Source organism: Homo sapiens, chromosome 19, assembly GCF_000001405.40.
Source record: "Homo sapiens chromosome 19, GRCh38.p14 Primary Assembly".
Classification (NCBI taxonomy): Eukaryota; Metazoa; Chordata; class Mammalia; order Primates; family Hominidae; genus Homo; species Homo sapiens.
In genome coordinates this window covers 37,515,835-37,532,555 of record NC_000019.10, presented here as the reverse complement: position 1 = coordinate 37,532,555, position 16,721 = coordinate 37,515,835, and the positions used below count along the sequence as shown (strand labels likewise).

The window sequence follows — 16,721 nt, the reverse complement described above, 5'->3', positions numbered from 1 at the left end:
TGCTTTTAGCAACTGAGAAAGGAAAGGTGGTCATTCGAACATAATCTGCATTGTATGGTGAGGATGTTCTTACCCACTGAGACGAGGTTGCTATAGGTTTCCAGCATCACATCCCGGTACAGGGCCCTCTGAGCAGGACTCAGCCGGTGCCACTCCTCTTGGGTGAAGCCCACAACCACATCTTTGAATGACACAGGTATCTGTTGAAACAAAAATGACATTGAGTCATGTCGAAAAAAAATGTTTGTGCAGGGCCAGGCATGGTGGCTCATGCCTATAATCCCAGCACTTTGGGAGGCCAAGGTGGGAGGATCAGGAGTTCAAGATCAGCCTGGCAAACATGGTGAAACCCCGTCTATACTAAAAATACAAAAATTCACCAGGCATGGTGGTGCACACTTGTAATCTCAGCTACTTGGGAGGCTGAGGTGGGAGAATCACTTGAATCTAAGAGACGGAGGTTGCAGTGAGCCGAGATCGCACCACTACACTCCAGCCTGGGCTAGAGCAGGAGTCCATCTCAAAAAAAAAAAAAAAAAATTTTGTGCAAGAGATGGTGCTGATTTTTATAATGTTTATAAGTTAGAGCTTATTATCTATCTGGAAGGCCTTTTATATTCTTGGCTTTGTGTTATATATGGTGGGGAAAAAGAAAATCACATTGGAAGCTATCTACCATTGCCATCCATACTTTGAGTCAACAAACATTGAAGACCCACTGTGTGTTGCTGGGGTCACAGTCATAGATGGGTCCTGACCTCAAGGAGCTCACTGTCTGGCACAGAGAGAGCAACATGTAAAGCCATCAGGGTAAAAATGTCACAAGAGCTGTGATGGCAGGACATCTAGGCTATGGCATACAGAGAAGCGAATGGTCTGTTAAATTTTTCAGGTTCTGGTTAGGCTTCAGAGCCCAGGGATATGGAAAGCTGACTCTCCTCCGCAGGAAGATGGAAAACTGCATTCTATGCAGGGGAGCAGTGGGAACAAAGGCCGGGGGGCAAAACGGTGATTTTAGGGGTGGCAAGTTACTTAGTAACAAGAGAAAAGTATGCAGAGGTCGGCCAGCAATGAAATGATGGACTTTAGGGCCGGGCACAGTGGCTCACCCCTGTAATCCCAGCACTTTGGGAGGCCGAGGTGGGTGGATCACCTGAGCTCAGGTATTCGAGACCAGCCTGGCCAACATGGTGAAACCCCGTCTCTACTAAAAATAGAAAAATTAGCTGGGCGTGGTGGCGGGCGCCTGTAGTCCTAGCTACTCAGGTGGCTGAGGCAGGAGAATCTCTAGAACCCAGGAGGCAGAGGTTGCAGTGAGCTGAGATTGTGCCACTGCACTCCAGCCTGGAGGACAGGGTGAGACTCTGACTCAAACAAAAAAAAACAAACAAAAAAAAGAAATGATGGACTTTAGGACAATGGAAACTCCATCCAAGAAGAAGTGTATGCAGAAAGTATATTCTAGAAGGCATGAGGTGAGCTTCTTGCATTCTATGTGAAGTGGTATAATGATAACTCTAAATAAACTGTGAAAAGTAAGATATATATTGTATCCCTGAAGTAACCACTAAAATCATAATGTGAGGTGTGCCTGATCTAAATAAACAGAATTTTGAAAAATGTTCCATTCATCCACACTAGCACAACAAAAGAGAGGAAAGAAGAAATAGAGGAACAAAAGAGTAGACGGGATAAACAGAAAACAGACACTAAAATGACAGATACAAATCCAACCATACCAATAATGTAATTTAATAAAGATTATATGTAATGTAATTTAATATAAATTGTGGGGAAAAGAGAGATCAGATTGTTACTGTGTCTGCGTAGAAAGAAGTAGACATAGGAGACTCCATTTCGTTCTGTACTAAGAAAAATTCTTCTGCCTTGAGATGCTGTTAATCTATAACCCCACCCCCAACCCCGTGCTCTCTGAAACATGTGCTGGGTCAACTCAGGGTTAAATGGATTAAGGGCTGTGCAGGATGTGCTTTGTTAAACAGATGCTTGAAGGCAGCATGCTCCTTAAGAGTCATCACCACTCCCTAATCTCAAGTACCCAGAGACACAACACACTACAGAAGGCCGCAGGGACCTCTGCCTAGGAAAGCCAGGTATTGTCCAAGGTTTCTCCCCATGTGATAGTCTGAAATACGGCCTCGTGGGAAGGGAAAGACCTGACCATCCCCCAGCCCGACACCCATAAAGGGTCTGTGCTGAGGAGGATTAGTATAAGAGGAAGGAATGCCTCTTTGCAGTTGAGACAAGAGGAAGGCATCTGTCTCCTGCCCGTCCCTGGGCAATGGAATGTCTCGGTATAAAACCCGATTGTATATTCCATCTACTGAGATAGGGGGAAACCGCCTTAGGGCTGGAGGTGGGACATGCGGGCAACAATACTGCTCTGTAAGGCATTGAGATGTTTATGTGTATGCATATCTAAAGCACAGCACTTAATTATTTACCTTGTCTATGATGCAGAGACCTTTGTTCACGTGTTTATCTGCTGACCTTCTCTCCACTATTATCCTATGACCCTGCCACATCCCCCTCACCGAGAAACACCCAAGAATGATCAATAAATACTAAGGGAACTCAGAGGCTGGCGGGATCCTCCGTATGCTGAACACTGGTACCCTGGGCCCCATTATTTCTTTCTCTATACTTTGTGTATTTTTCTTTCCTAAGTCTCTCGTTCCACCTAACGAAAAACACCCACAGGTGTGGAGGGGCAACCCACCCCTTCATAAACTGAACACTCCAGGCCAGGCATGGTGGCTCACCACTGTAATCCCAGCACTTCAGGAGGCTGAGGCAGGCAGATCACTTAAGGTCAGGAGTTCGAGACCAGCCTGGCTAACATGGCAAAATCCTACCTCTACTAAAAATACAAAAATTAGCCAGGTGTGGTTGTGCGTGCCTGTAATCCCAGCTACGCAGGAGGCTGAGGCAGGAGAATCGCTTGAAACTGGGAGGCAGAGGTTTCAGTGAGCCCAGATAGTGCCACTGTACTCTACCCTGGGTGATAGAATGAGACTCTGTCTCAGACTAAACATTCCAAAAAGGCAGAGATCATCAGACTGAATTAAAAAAAAAAATGCTGCCTACAAGAGATGCACTTTCAATGTAAACTCACAGGCAGTTTTAAAGTCAATGGATGGAAAGAGAAGTGTGGTGGGTGACCTGGAGGGACGTGAGAGGAAAGACCCTATAGTAACCTGGGTGAAAGGTGATGTTCACAAGCAGGACAGTAACCGTTAGAGAAAGATGGAACGCTGTAAAGAAGAGCAGACCCCATTCTGCATGGTGTGATAATTTCACATTGCATGATGCCTGTACCAAAACATATGCCCATAAATACACACACCTACTAGTACCCACAAACATTTTTTAAAAATTAAAACAACAAAACAAAACAAAAAGAAGAGCAGAACCTGCACCTTAACTGGTTGTGGGAGGGAAAGAGGGTAGGGGCAGGGCAACACCCAGGTATCTTGAAGGCAACCGGGTGATGATGGCGCCACACCTGGAGATGAGGAAACCATGAGGAACAAAGAGGAGGCTGTTGTGCTGGACCTGCCTGGGGACCACGTGGACATGTGGGTTTTGTGTCAGGAGCAAGATCAGGAATGGAGCTAAAATGCTGAGCATCAGCACAAAAGTGAGATTCCTCTGCAAGACGGGGAGAGCAGGGTGCCCAGGCCAGAGCTCCAAGGGACACTAATATTTAAGAAGCCAGCAGAAGATGAGTTCAGCAGGAGATCCAAAGGAGGAATAGTCTGAAAAGAAGAAGTCTTGACCGCCTGGCAGGCCTCGGGTTATGGGCACAGAGAACAAAAGTTCTCTAAAGAGCTGATAGCCCTGGAGATGCCAGCATAAGTTGTGAAGGAGCAGGACAGTCACTGAGGGAGACCCATGGGTACCAGCCTAGGAAGGTCCTGGTGATCCTGTCTTTAAGTGACTGTGTGGTAAAGAATTTGACCTTGCCAAAAGAGAGGTGTGGCCTTTGCCCTCAGCTCCTGGAAAGTAATCTCTATACTCTTGGAATGTCCTAAGAGTGTCCTTGTTTACCTAGTGGTCTTGGGCCACACTAGATAGTCTAATGATGTGGTTTATAATGAGGGCTTTGGGTCACAGGCATCAGCTCAACCTCTTGGAAGGGCTGGAAACTGAGGTCAGTGGTGGGAACAGTCAAGCCTTTCTACATGATCAACCACCAATAAAAAGTGGACACCAGGGCCTAGGTGCACTTTCCTGGTTGGCAAGGCTCCGTCTGTATTGGCACACATTACTGCTGGGAGGATTTAGCACTGTTTGGGACTTCCATAGGAGAGGACAGAAGTTCTATGTGTGGAACTCTCCTAAACTCTGCTTCATGAGCCTCTTCTCTTTGTTGATTTTACTTAATTAATTAATTAATTTATTTTGAGATGGAGTCTTGCTGTGTTGCCCAGGCTGGAGTGCAGTGGCGCAGTCTCGGCTCACTGCAACCTCCGTCTCCTGGGCTCAAGCGATTCTCCTGCCTCAGCCTCCTGAGTAGCTAGGACTACAGGCACACACCACCACGCCCAGCTAATTTTTGTATTTTTTTTTTTTTTCAGTAGAGACAGGGTTTCACCATGTTGTCCAGGCTGGTCTCAAACTCCTGACCTCAAGCGATCCGCCTGCCTTGGCCTCTCAAAGTGCTGGGATTACAGGCGTGAGCCACTGCACAGGGCCTTGGTTGATTTTAATCTGTATGCTTTTGCTGTAATTGTAACAATGAGTATAACAGCTTTCAGTGAGTTCTATGAGTCCTTCTAGTAAATTAGAAAACCCAAAAGTGTTTTGAGGGAGACCCTCAAACTTGCAGTTGGTGTAGAAGTGAGGGTCTTGTGGACTGCTCCCTAACTATATGTGACCACATAACATGAGATGCAAAGCAGTGGATTGGGGCTGGACTGCCTGAGTTCAAATATCAGCTCAGCCTACCCTGGGAAAACTATTTAGCCTCTCTGTGCCATAGTTTCCTCATCTGTTCAATGGAAATAATAATAGTATGTGTGTCTTAATTACTATGAGGTTTAAATTAGTTAAAAGGTGTAAAGCCTTTGAACAGTGCCTGGCACATAATACCATTATATAAATTTGCCTATTTTATTTAAGAAGAAAAATCATATAAATCAATATTTTGAAATCTGTAAGAAAGGGAAAACAATTCTGGCCAGGAGCGGTGGCTTAATGGCTGTAATCTCAGCACTTTGGGAGGCTGAGGAGGGTGGATCACCTGAGGTCAGGAGTTCAAGACCAGCCTGGCCGATATGGTGAAACCCCATCTCTACTAAAAATACAAAAATTAGCCAGGGTGGTAGCACATAGGCGGGTGGATCACCTGAGGTCAGGAGTTCAAGACCACCCTGGCCAACAGGGCAAAACCCCATCTCTACCAAAAAGACAAAAACTTAGCCGGGCGTGATGGTGCATGCCTATAATTCCAGCTACTCAGGAGGCTGAGGCAGGAGAATTGCTTGAACCTGGGAGGCAGAGGTTGCAGTGAGCCGAGATTGTGCCACTGCACTCCAGCCTGGGCGACAGAGCGAGACAACATCTCAAAAGAAAAGAAAAAAAGAAAGGAAAACAATTCTAAAGGACAAAAAATGGGGACTCAGTGCCTGTGCAGTGGGCTTTAAGTAGGGTAGGTAGCTCTATTGCAGTGCTGGGGCCACTGGCCTACCACCTCCAGGAGTGGCCGAAGGAAAGAAGCACCGAAGTGGCTCTGAGAGCAGCCCAGGCCCACGCCCCATTCTCAGGAGGCTGCAGACCTCCATGAGGAATGCTGGGCTTCCAGCAGCACCTGAGCAGTAGTAGCCCAGGCAAATGGGCCTAAAGGCAGGACCAAAAGCAGGGCAGGGGCCATGGAGGCTGGCACATGACACACTAAGACTCACATAGAGGGCACAGCGCACAGGGGGTGCCAAGCAAACACCCTCCCTGATGCCAGAACAACACACCAGGGTAGTAAGAGCAGCAGTCAGGGCTGATCACAGGGCACAGTGACAGGCTCTGGGTCAATATTTCCCAGGAAAAGATACAATTCTGCACCCAGGAAGCCATGCCATTTCCACAGAACACAGGAATGAAGAGGCAGCAATCACTGAAGTTGTGGCCAGGTGTGGTAGCTCATGCCTGTAATCCCAGCACTTTGGGAGGCCGAGGCAGGAGGACCACTTGAGCCCAGAAGCTCAAGACCAGCCTGGGTAATATAGTAAGATCCCATCTTTACAAAAAATAAAAAAATTAGCTGGGCATAGTGGCATGCGCCTATAGTCCCAGCTACTCGGGAGGCTGAAATGGGAGGATCGCTTGAGCCCAGGAGTTCAAGGCTCCAGTGAGTAAGACCCTGTTTCAAAAAAATAAAAAGAATCACTGAACTTTTAAAAATTAGCACGGCATGGTGACTGGGTAGAAGGAGGGGGAAAAGTAGGGAGGAAGTCAAGGGTAAATCTCAGGGTCCCGGCCTGCCCGATGGGATGGCACCATCTCCTGTGATGGGAAACTGAGAAGGGATGGAGGAGGAGGCAGGAATGAGAAACTCAGGGAAAGGAGAAGTCTTCTCAGGACACAGGGCCCTTGGGGGCTGGGAACACCTCACACTGAGACATTCCCAGGAATAAGATGTGTAACTGTTTGCTACCAAACTAGAACACACATATAAGAAGAATGACAGTCATTTAAATGCTGGGCAGTACATCTGTTCCTCAGTCCAGATCAAGGCTACAGCTGCCTTGGATCAAATTCAGGGCTTCTGTACACTTGAAGCAGCCCTCTGACCCCTTAAACAGAAATCATTCCTATTGGCCAGGCACGGTGGCTCACGCCTGTAATCCCAGCACTTTGGGAGGCCGAGGCAGGTGGATCACGAGGTCAGGAGATCGAGACCATCGAAACCCTGTCTCTACTAAAAATACAAAAGTTAGCTGGGTTTGATGGTGGGCGCCTGTAGTCCCAGCTACTTAGGAGGCTAAGGCAGGAGAATCGCTTGAACCAGGGAGTCAGAGCTTGCAGTGAGCCGAGATCGTGCCACTGCACTCCAGCCTGAGTGACAGAGCGAGACTCCGTCTCAAAAAAAAAAAAAAAAAGGCCAGGCACGGTGGCTCACGCCTGTAATCCCAGCACTTTGGGAGGCCGAGGCGGGAGGATCACAAGGTCAGGAGATCGAGACCATCCTGGCTAACACGGTGAAACCCTGTCTCTACTAAAACTACAAAAAATTAGCCGGGCATGGTGGCAGGCGCCTGTAGTCCCAGCTACTCAGGAGGCTGAGGCAGGAGAATGGCGTGAACCCGGAAGGAGGAGTTGGCAGTGAGCCAAGATTGCACCACTGCACTCCAGCCTGGGCGACAGAGAGCAAGACTCCAACTCAAAAAAAAAAAAAAGAGAGAAAACAGAAAGAAATCATTTGTATTTTCACTTTCTTCTCACTGACATGCAGCATTTCCTTCCATTATATATGTGGATCGCAAGCAACAGAAGAGTTAGGACTTCCTACAGCTTTGACACAGATAGAAAACATTGTCGTATCATTGGGGAGCTAGCACTTGGCAGTTTTGGTCACCTGAAAAACTGGGAGTTCTGCCTTGGGTCTAACACTCTATTCCAAGGGGAAACAATATAAAAAACCTATTTCGGATTTATTAGTTATTAAGAACTTTGTCTACTATCACTATCAATGTTTTTCATACTTTTATGTGCGTAAAGATCATCCAAAGCCTTTTAAACACACATTCCCAGGCTACACCTACAAATCACCCCATGAAGCAGGCCAGGGGCGGAGCCTGCCGTTCCATATTTCCCACAGGCTCCCAGGAGACGCCCAGGTCCCGGGACCACACTGTGAGAGGCTGTGCTTTTCTACTTCAGTCCTAAGAAGGCGTCTTGGAAAACACCTTCAAAAACTGCCTTGAAATGCTAATTTTCCACTGGAGATAACAATAGGCTTCTTCCTTATAAACAGTACAAATCTTGGGCTAACTGTATTTGCCTTTTTGTTGGGCTACCAGGAAGATCAGTTACTGACTCTTGGACTCTCCACTTTGTACATTGGTAATCCAAAAGAGAATGTTCCTTGCATCACTACTTGTAATATCAAGTCTGAAAATTACCCAAATGTCCATCAAATGAGGGACTGGTCAAATCAGTCATATTCCCTTGCATACGATGAAGCATTACATATCTGGTTTAAAAAAATGGTATGGTTTTAAGTAAGACCCCATCTTTACAAAAAATAAAGATAACATGTTGGTTACAGCAGTATGTGTTAAGTATCTTGCCACTGTATCTACATATAGAAAGGAGGCTCTTGCAGGCTTAAAACCCTTTATTATTATTATTATTATTATTATTATTATTATTATTATTATTATTTTGAGATGGAGTTTTGCTCTTGTTGCCCAGGCTGGAGTGCAATGGTGCCATCTTGGCTCACTGCAACCTCCACCTCCCAGGTTCAAGCAATTCTCCTGCCTCAGCCTCCCGAGTAGCTGGGATTACAGGCACCCACCACCATGCCCAACTAATTTTTGTATTTTTAATAGAGGCAGGCTTTCACCATGTTGGCCAGGCTGGTCTCAAACTCCTGACCTCAGGTTATGCAACTGCCTTGGCCTCCCAAAGTGCCGGGATTACAGGCATGAGCTACCCCTAGCGGCCGGCTTAAAACCTTTCTGAGAATTATCCTTGGCCAAAGGGTACTGCACCATCCAAGGATATCTACCCTCCTCGGGGCAGCCTACAATCAATGATTAGTTGATTTCAGAATATAAAAGCCTCCTTGCCTCCATTCACAACAATGCTGAAGGCCATCCCAGCTCCAGAGGATAAGATCCACTAAGGCCTCTGTTCAACAATTCCCTCAGCCCAATCCAGCTTCCCTCACTGTCTTACAGGTGTTCTAAGAGCCTGCCTAATCAACCTCCTGTGAGAAAAATCTCCATCTATGAGTCAGCTTCCCTGAGAACCCAGCCTGTATGTACAAACTGTACATACTTACAATGCACACCCTTTTTTTCCTCTAGGACAGTTTCCCCAGGAAGGAAAACTGGGCTACTTAATGTGATACTTACCTGGTATTCGATCATTTTCTGCTGTTCTTGAAAAAGATCTGACACCTGTAGACATGTGGGGGGAAGAAGATGGAGAAAGAGAGAACAGAGAACAGAGTGTAAAGAGCTAGGCCTGTCTTGGAAATTGCAAATTCCCTTTGTAAATATTGTACAAAAATCCATGCTTTTAGCTGGGTGTGGTGGCTTACACCTTATTTGAGGCCAGGAGTTAGGGACCAGCCTGGGCAATATGGCAAAGCCCCGTCTCTACAAAAAAAGATAAAAAATTAGCCAGGTATGGTGTTGCACACCTATAGTCCCAGCTACCCAGGAGGCTGAGGTGGGGGGATCACTTGAGCCTAGGAGGTCAAAGCTGCAGTGAGCCATGATCCCACTACTGCAATCTGGCCTAGGTGACAGAGTAAGACCCTGTCTCAAAAATTAAATAAATAAATAAACAAACAAATAAATACCCTTTATCTCTTATTTGTTTCAAATACTTTGAAATATTATATAGGTCATAAAGCATAGACCATAAAGCATGGTTGCCATAGTATCTAAATGCCCCACACCCCAAGACATTTAATGATTATAAAAGGAAAAGAAGTAACTTTGCCTTGGAAAAACTTGGCAGTATCACTTAGTCAAGTGATCAGTTAACGTGACCAGTAATGAGATATAAGACATCATGTGCCTCCTGATATAATGCACTGTGAAGGGTACAACATCCCTTCTGTGGTGTTCACACCCCAAATGCATACCTGAACCTAATCAATGAGGAGACATCAGACAAAACCATACTGAGTTACAATATACAAAATAACCTACCTATACTCTTCAAAAATGTCGACTTCATGGAAGATGAACACTGAGAAACTGCTCCTGATTAAAGGAGACTAAAGGGATGTGTCACCTAAAGGCAGCATATGATCCTGGATTAGATCCTGGAATGGAAAAAGAAAAGAAAAGTTGCTATAGGCCCGGGCACAGTGGCTCACCCCTGTAATCCCAGCACTTTGGGAGGCCGAGGTGGGTACATCGCCTGAGGTCAGGAGTTCGAGACCAGCCTGGCCAACATGGTGAAACCCCATCTCTACTAAAAATACAAAAATTTGCCGGGTGTGCTGGCAGGCACCTGTAATCCCAGCTACTCAGGAGGCTGAGGCAGGAGAATCATTTGAACCCAGGAGGCAGAGGTTGCAGTGAGCCAAGATCGCGCCATTGCACTCCAACCTGGGTGACAAGAGCGAGACTTGGTCTCAAAAAATAAGAAAAAGCAAGAAAGAAAAGTTGCTATAAAGTGACAGTATTAGTTGACATCTGATTGTAGACTGGATTAATCTAGTCTATGGTCTACATTAATCTAGTTATCATGATTATTAAATCATTATAACACTGACTTTGTAATCAGTGTCAAATGCCTGGTTTTGAAAACTACTGGTTACATAAAAAAAAGTTCTTATTCTTAGAAAATATACCCTGAAGTACTTATGGGTAAAGGAGCATCATGTCTGCAAGTTAGTCTTAAGTAGTTAAAGAAAGAATAGGAATGATATATTTATGATATAACATAATTATCTATATACATATATATTTGTATATAGAAAGAGAGGACATGCAAACATGGCTTTATATAGATGAATCTAGGTAAGGAATACATAGGAGACCACAGAAATATTCTTGCTTTTTTTTGGAAAAAAATTTCCAAATAAAATGTTTAGTTAAAAACAAAAGGCTGGGTGCGGTGGCTCACGCCTATAATCCCAGCACTTTGGGAGGCCAAGGCAGGTGTATCACCTGAGGTTGGGAGTTCGAGACAAGCCTGACCAACATAGTGAAACCCCATCTCTACTAAAAGTACAAAATTAGCCAGGCGTGGTGAAGCGTGCCTATAATCCCAGCTACTCAGGAGGCTGAGGCAGGAGAATCCCTTGATCCCTTGAACCTGGGAGGTGGAGGCTGCAGTGAGCAGAGATCGCGCCATTGCACTCCAGCCTGGGCAACAAGAGCGAAACTCTGTCTCAAAAAAAAAAAAAAAAAAAAAAAGAGAATTGACCATGCATGGTGATTCATGCCTGTAATCCCAGCACTTTGGGAGGCCGAGGTGGGTGGATCGCTTGAGGTCGTAAGTTCGAGACCAGCCTGGTCAACATGGTGAAACTCCATCTCTACTAAAAATACAAAAATCAGGACAGGCACAGTGGCTCACGCCTGTAATCCCAGCACTTTGGGAGGCCGAGGCGGGCAGATCACAAGGTCAGGAGATTGAGACCATTCTGGCTAACACGGTGAAACCCCGTGTCTACTAAAAATAAAAAAAATAAGCCGGGCATGGTGGCACACACCTGTAGTCCCAGCTATTTGGGAGGCTGAGGCAGGAGAATGGCGTGAACCCAGGAGGTGGAGCTTGCAGTGAGCCGAGAATGTGCCACTGCACTCCAGCCTGGGCGACAGAGTGAGACTTCATCTCGAAAAAAAAAAAAAATTAGCCGGGCATGGTGGTGCATGTCTGTAATTCTGAGATTCTGCCATTGTACTCCAGCCTGGGTGGCAAGAGTGAAACTCCGTCTCAAAAAACAAAACAAAACAAAATTATATACAGTAGGTCCATAAATTCTGCCACCACCACCATTCTGAGAATCCAGGGCCATTTCTGCCTCTGAGTCAGGATGGAGTGAACTAATCACATTCCTAGAGGCCAGGTGAGGTGCCAAAAATGACGGGAGAGCAAGTCTAGAGAGGTCCAGCAAGAATAAAGAAGCAGATGGGCCACACCCCATACCACAAGATAGCAGAACGCAATGGGCTAGAAAGATGCCCCCTTCTCCTGAAAGAACATGCCTATCGCACCCGCCATGAGACTCTGGCCTCCCTACCTCTCCCTTCACTCTGTCTTCCTGGATCTTGGGCCAACCATCCTCCCTTCATTTAGCCATGGAGAGTCCCTGGAAAGAGTAACGTCTTCAGGTTTGGTCTTGCTCAGCTTCTGGCTCAGGGATGAAGCTATTTCCTTTTATGTGGGAGTCTTTGCTCTGACAAGAGGTATGGGGTCTGAGTGATTCCTTCAGAAGGGAATTTTCATCCCAAGTTCCCTTCTCCTGGACAGTGTCTTTAACCTGGCCTGCCCAGGCACTCACAGCTCCATCTCTCAACAGTAACTCACACTTAGCTGCAGGGCCTTCTGTAGATGTTGTGACCAAGGTCCTGTGGCTCTAAGGGCTGGCAGGAGCTAGAGAGCCCTCCCGTCCAGCAAGGTGGCAGGATCCAAAGGTCTGCAGGGCACCCAGAGAACCTGAAGATAAGCAGATCCCATGGTGAGTCATCCAATCGTCCTTCCCCAAACACTGCCTGGGGCCTCAGGGGGAAAAGCCTGCAGAGGCTGTGCAGGAGACAGCTGAGTGATGGCTCTGTTCTGGGACTGGGACAGGGGGAACTCCCACAAAGACCCTTGTGTCTGAGTCACTCCCTGAGCCAAGGAATGACTCAGATACAAGTTTGAAGCTAAGTAATTCCTCTGACTGACTGAGAGAATCTGGGCTAGACACTTTACCTCTCTAGGCCTGTTTCCTCACCTGTGAAAACAGAAAGAGGCTGTCAAACAGACTCGGGAGCCAGACAACCTGGGTTCAAATGCAGGCTCTGCCATTTACTGATGTGTGATGTTGAATGAGTTACTTAGTCTATCTGTGTCTCAGTATCCCTATCATTTATTTATTATTTTACCCTTCTTTGATTTCCAATGGAGAAAGATATTTTCCTCATCTATTTATTGGCCATTTGCATTTCTTTTGTAAACAATCTGTTTATGCTCTTAACTTTTGATTTTCCTGAGTTATTTTCAAAAATTCATTTACAAGTGTTCTTTCTATATTGAGGCTATTAATCCTTTGTCATATTTGTTATAAATATGTTTTTATAGTATAACATTTGTCCTTATTTGTCATTTGTCCTTAAACTGGGTTTATTAGTTTCCAAATACCAAACAAGTTTTATTGGTTATTTTTAATAGTCAACTTGTTGATATTTTCCCCTTATAGTTTCTGCTTCTGGTAGTATTTTTAGTAAAAGTCTTTTCCACAAGATTATTAAAATGGTCTTTTTGGCTTATAAGATTGGCAAAGATGGAAATCATATCTCTTACACTGCTGGTAGGAGGGCAGGATATTCCAGCTTTCTGAAGGGAATTTATATCAGAATTTTTTTTGTTTTTGAGTCGGAGTCTTGCTCTGCTGCCCAGGCTGGAGTGCAGTGGCATGATCTCAGCTCACTACAAGCTCTGCCTCCTGGGTTCACGCCATTCTCCTGCCTCAGCCTCCCGAGTAGCTGGGACTACAGGCACCTGCCACCACGCCGGCTAATTTTTTTGTATTTTTAGTAGAGACAGGGTTTCACCGCGTTAGCCAGGATGGTCTCAATCTCCTGACCTCGTGATCCGCCCACCTCGGCCTCGGAAAGTGCTGAGATTACAGGCGTGAGCCACCGCGCCCAGCCCTATCAGAATTTTTAGAGTGCACACTCATTAAACCACTCTTCAACATCCAATAATGTGTCTCAAGGAACTAATTAGTCTCGCTAAAATAAAAGATAAAGGTACAAGGATGTTCATCTCACCTTTGCTTACAAAAGTAAAACAACTGGAAGCAATCAAAATGTCCCAACAATAATTTATTTTTTTTTCATTATCTATTTCTTTATTTGAGATAGGCTGGAGTACAGTGGCATGATCATGGCTTGCTGCAGCCTCAAACTCCCAGGCTCAGGTGATCCTCCCACCTCAGCCTCCCGAGTAGGAGGACTATAGATGTGCACCAACATACCTGGGTAATTTTTTTTTTTTTTTTTTTTGTAGAGACAGGGTTTCACCATGTTTTTCGGGCTGGTCTTGGACTCCCGGACTCAAGCAATCCACCTACCCTGGCCTCCCAAAGTGCTGGGATTATAGGTGTGAGCCACCACACCTAGCCTGTCCCAGCAATTAAAAGATTGGCAGGCTGATATTGGTGAGCCACAGAATGGAACACAAGGCAGGCATTAGAAATAGTAGTGGAGGCCAGGTGCCATTTCTCACACCTTGTAATGCCAGCACTTTGGGAGGCCAAGGCGGGCAGATCAACTGAGGTCAGGAGTTCGAGACTAGCCTGGCCAACATGGTGAAACCTTGTCTCTACTAAAAACAGAAAAAATTAGCTGGGCATGGTGGGAGGGGCCTGTAATCCCAGCTACTCGGGAGGCTGAGGCAGGAGAATTGCTTGAACCCAGGAGGCGGAGGTTGCAGCGAGCCGAGATTGCGCCACTGCACTCCAGCCTGGGCGACAGAGCGAGACTCTGCCTCAGAAAATAATAATAATAATAATAATAATGGAGTGGTGTACTCCGACTTGGAACTGCATTTGTGATGTATTTTGAAGCAGAAAATACAAGTCATAACATACAATGTGAAGCATAATTCTATTTTTAAAATTATGTAAGTCCGAATCTATGAAAATATTAACATTGCTTTCTCTGAGTGAAGGGACTGAAAGGAATTTACGTTTCATTTTCGAAGTGTTCATTTTCTAACTTTTCCAATAGCCTCATAATTATACATTTATTTGGGTAACAGCAATAATAACAATAACAAAATGTACAATAATGACAAATCAAAACAAGCACACACAGGAAGAACAAATAAAACTATGACACATCATAGAAACTGATAGAAATAGAAAAAAAAAACCTAGCTTGTAGTTATTGAGCCCTGATCTCAACTTAGGCACTGTGCAAGGTTATTTCCTCATATGGACTCATTTATTCCTCACACTGCCCTCTAAACCGAGTCCTACTCCATTTCTACATAAAGACGTAGTGCCTGAGAGAGCTGAAGAACTAGCACACAGCAGCAGTGAGATACAGACCCGACTAGCCTGGCTGTGGCGCTTGGGTTTATAACTTCTCAGTCTTGCTGCCTCTCAGAGACAGATTTGCCTTCTAAAAGAGCAATGTAACATTTGCTGTGCACATTTTTTTTTTTTTTTTTTTTGAGACAGAGTTTCTCTCTTGTTGCCCAGGCTGGAGTGCGGTGGTGCGATCTCAGCTCACTGCAGCCTCTACCTCCTGGATTCAAGGGATTCTCCTGCCTGAGCCTCCCAAGTAGCTGGGATTACAGGCACCTCCAGCTGTAGATTACTAAAATCACCTCCAGCTGTAGATACAGACTAAAATATGAAGGCAGGAAACAGTAATTGGATACATATGGTAGAACTATGATGAATATTTGCTTCGATTTCCTTCAACAAGGTAAAATTAGTCTAGTAATTTTCCTTTTTTATTTAAAAACAGATTTTTTCCTACTGGGGATGCCCATCTGCACACAGAGCCAAGTGTGGCAGATAAAATCAGTGCCACCTATCCTGATGAAGTAAGGAAATGTGAAAAACAAAGTTCCCTTCCTCCCTCAGCCCCAATTCCTCCCTAAAACTGGGCAACTATGGGGAGAATCCACTTGAAGATGAAGGTCAATCATTATCTTTCTTAGTAAAGAGTCAATCTCAGGCCGGGCACAGTGGCTCATGCCTGTAATCCCAGCATTTTGGGAGGCCGAGGTGGGCAGATCGCTTGAGGCCAGGAGTTCAAGACCTGCCTGGCCAACATGGTGAAACCCCATCTCTACTAAAAATACAAAAATTAGCTGGGTGTGGTGGTCACACCTGTAGTCCCAGCTACACAGGAGGCTGAGGAAGAAGAATTGCTTGAACCTGGGAGGTGGAGGTTACAGTGAGCTGAGATCGTACCACTGTACTCCAGTGTGGGTGACAGAGCAAGAATCAAAATTTAAAAAAGAAAAAAAAAAGAGTCAATCTTGGAAAGCAGTATTGCCCTGCAGTCCGGCACTCTTCTAGCAGCATGGCAGCCATCTGATGGGCACCATCTCAGTCAGCATTGTGACGTGATTGTGACTTACACACCCTTATCAGTCCCTAACATTTGAACTCAAAAGCCATATTTTACCATATAGATACCATCATCTGGATGCTCTCAGTCACAATCTTAAAACTAGATCATAGGCCGGGCACAGTGGCTCACACCTGTAATCCCAGCACTTGGGAGGCCGGGGCAGGTAGATCACCTGAGGTCAGGAGTTTGAGACCAGCCTGACTGACATGGTGAAACCCCGTCTCTACTAAAAATGCAAAAATTAGCCGGGTGTAGCAGCACATGCCTGTAATCCCAGCTACTTGGGAGGCTGAGGCAGAAGAATCGCCTGAACCCAGGAGGTGGAGGTTGCAGTGAGCCGAGATCGCGCCACTGCACTCCAGCCTGGGCAAGAAGAGGGAAACTCTTGTCTCAAAACAAAACAAAACAAACTAGTTCATAGATCTCTCATTGCCACCCATTGTGGTTTCACAAAAGTGAACTCAGTATCTTCTACCTCAACTTATTCTTCCTCTTAGGTCGTAGCCTCTATCTCCTGAAGCTGTATGTTTGAAAGCTTTGTCTAGCACATTACCTCTTGTTACTTATTTTTCATAAATGTCCTAGATATTCTCAAATGTTTCATCTTCAACATAAACTGCAGAATTATTCTGTTACAATTTGGGGCAAAGAGATCCCTTCTTAAGATTTTGCTTAACATTGCACTGAATTTGTCCATTCATATAAGAA

The 16,721-nt window shown here is 45.4% G+C and overlaps 1 protein-coding gene across 12 annotated transcripts in view, besides 1 other annotated feature; it reads right to left on the bottom strand.

The window, feature by feature from the left end:
* Positions 1-16,721, bottom strand: part of ZNF793 (zinc finger protein 793) — a 36,906-nt gene that overhangs the window by 10,778 nt on the left and 9,407 nt on the right. For 5 of the 12 annotated variants that reach the window (XM_047438820.1, XM_006723213.4, XM_047438819.1 and 2 more), the window contains exons 3-5: positions 9,909-10,024; positions 9,102-9,146; positions 74-200 (exon numbers count right to left, since the gene is read on the bottom strand). In XM_047438820.1, coding sequence (XP_047294776.1) covers positions 74-200; positions 9,102-9,116 — 142 coding nt within the window. In that variant the 5' untranslated portion in view covers positions 9,117-9,146; positions 9,909-10,024. Of the gene's footprint in view, positions 1-73; positions 201-9,101; positions 9,147-9,908; positions 10,025-11,956; positions 12,026-12,243; positions 12,373-16,721 lie in introns of all 12 variants that reach the window. The other 7 variants (XM_047438816.1, XM_047438814.1, XM_047438813.1 and 4 more) reach the window with 3 other exon arrangements.
* Positions 1,760-2,582: an enhancer, noted in NCBI's record as "NANOG-H3K27ac hESC enhancer chr19:38020876-38021698 (GRCh37/hg19 assembly coordinates)". NCBI's record gives its function as "activates a minimal SCP1, AML or CMV promoter by ChIP-STARR-seq in primed H9 embryonic stem cells {active_cell/tissue: H9 hESC(primed)}" and the evidence as "EXISTENCE:reporter gene assay evidence [ECO:0000049][PMID:30033119]".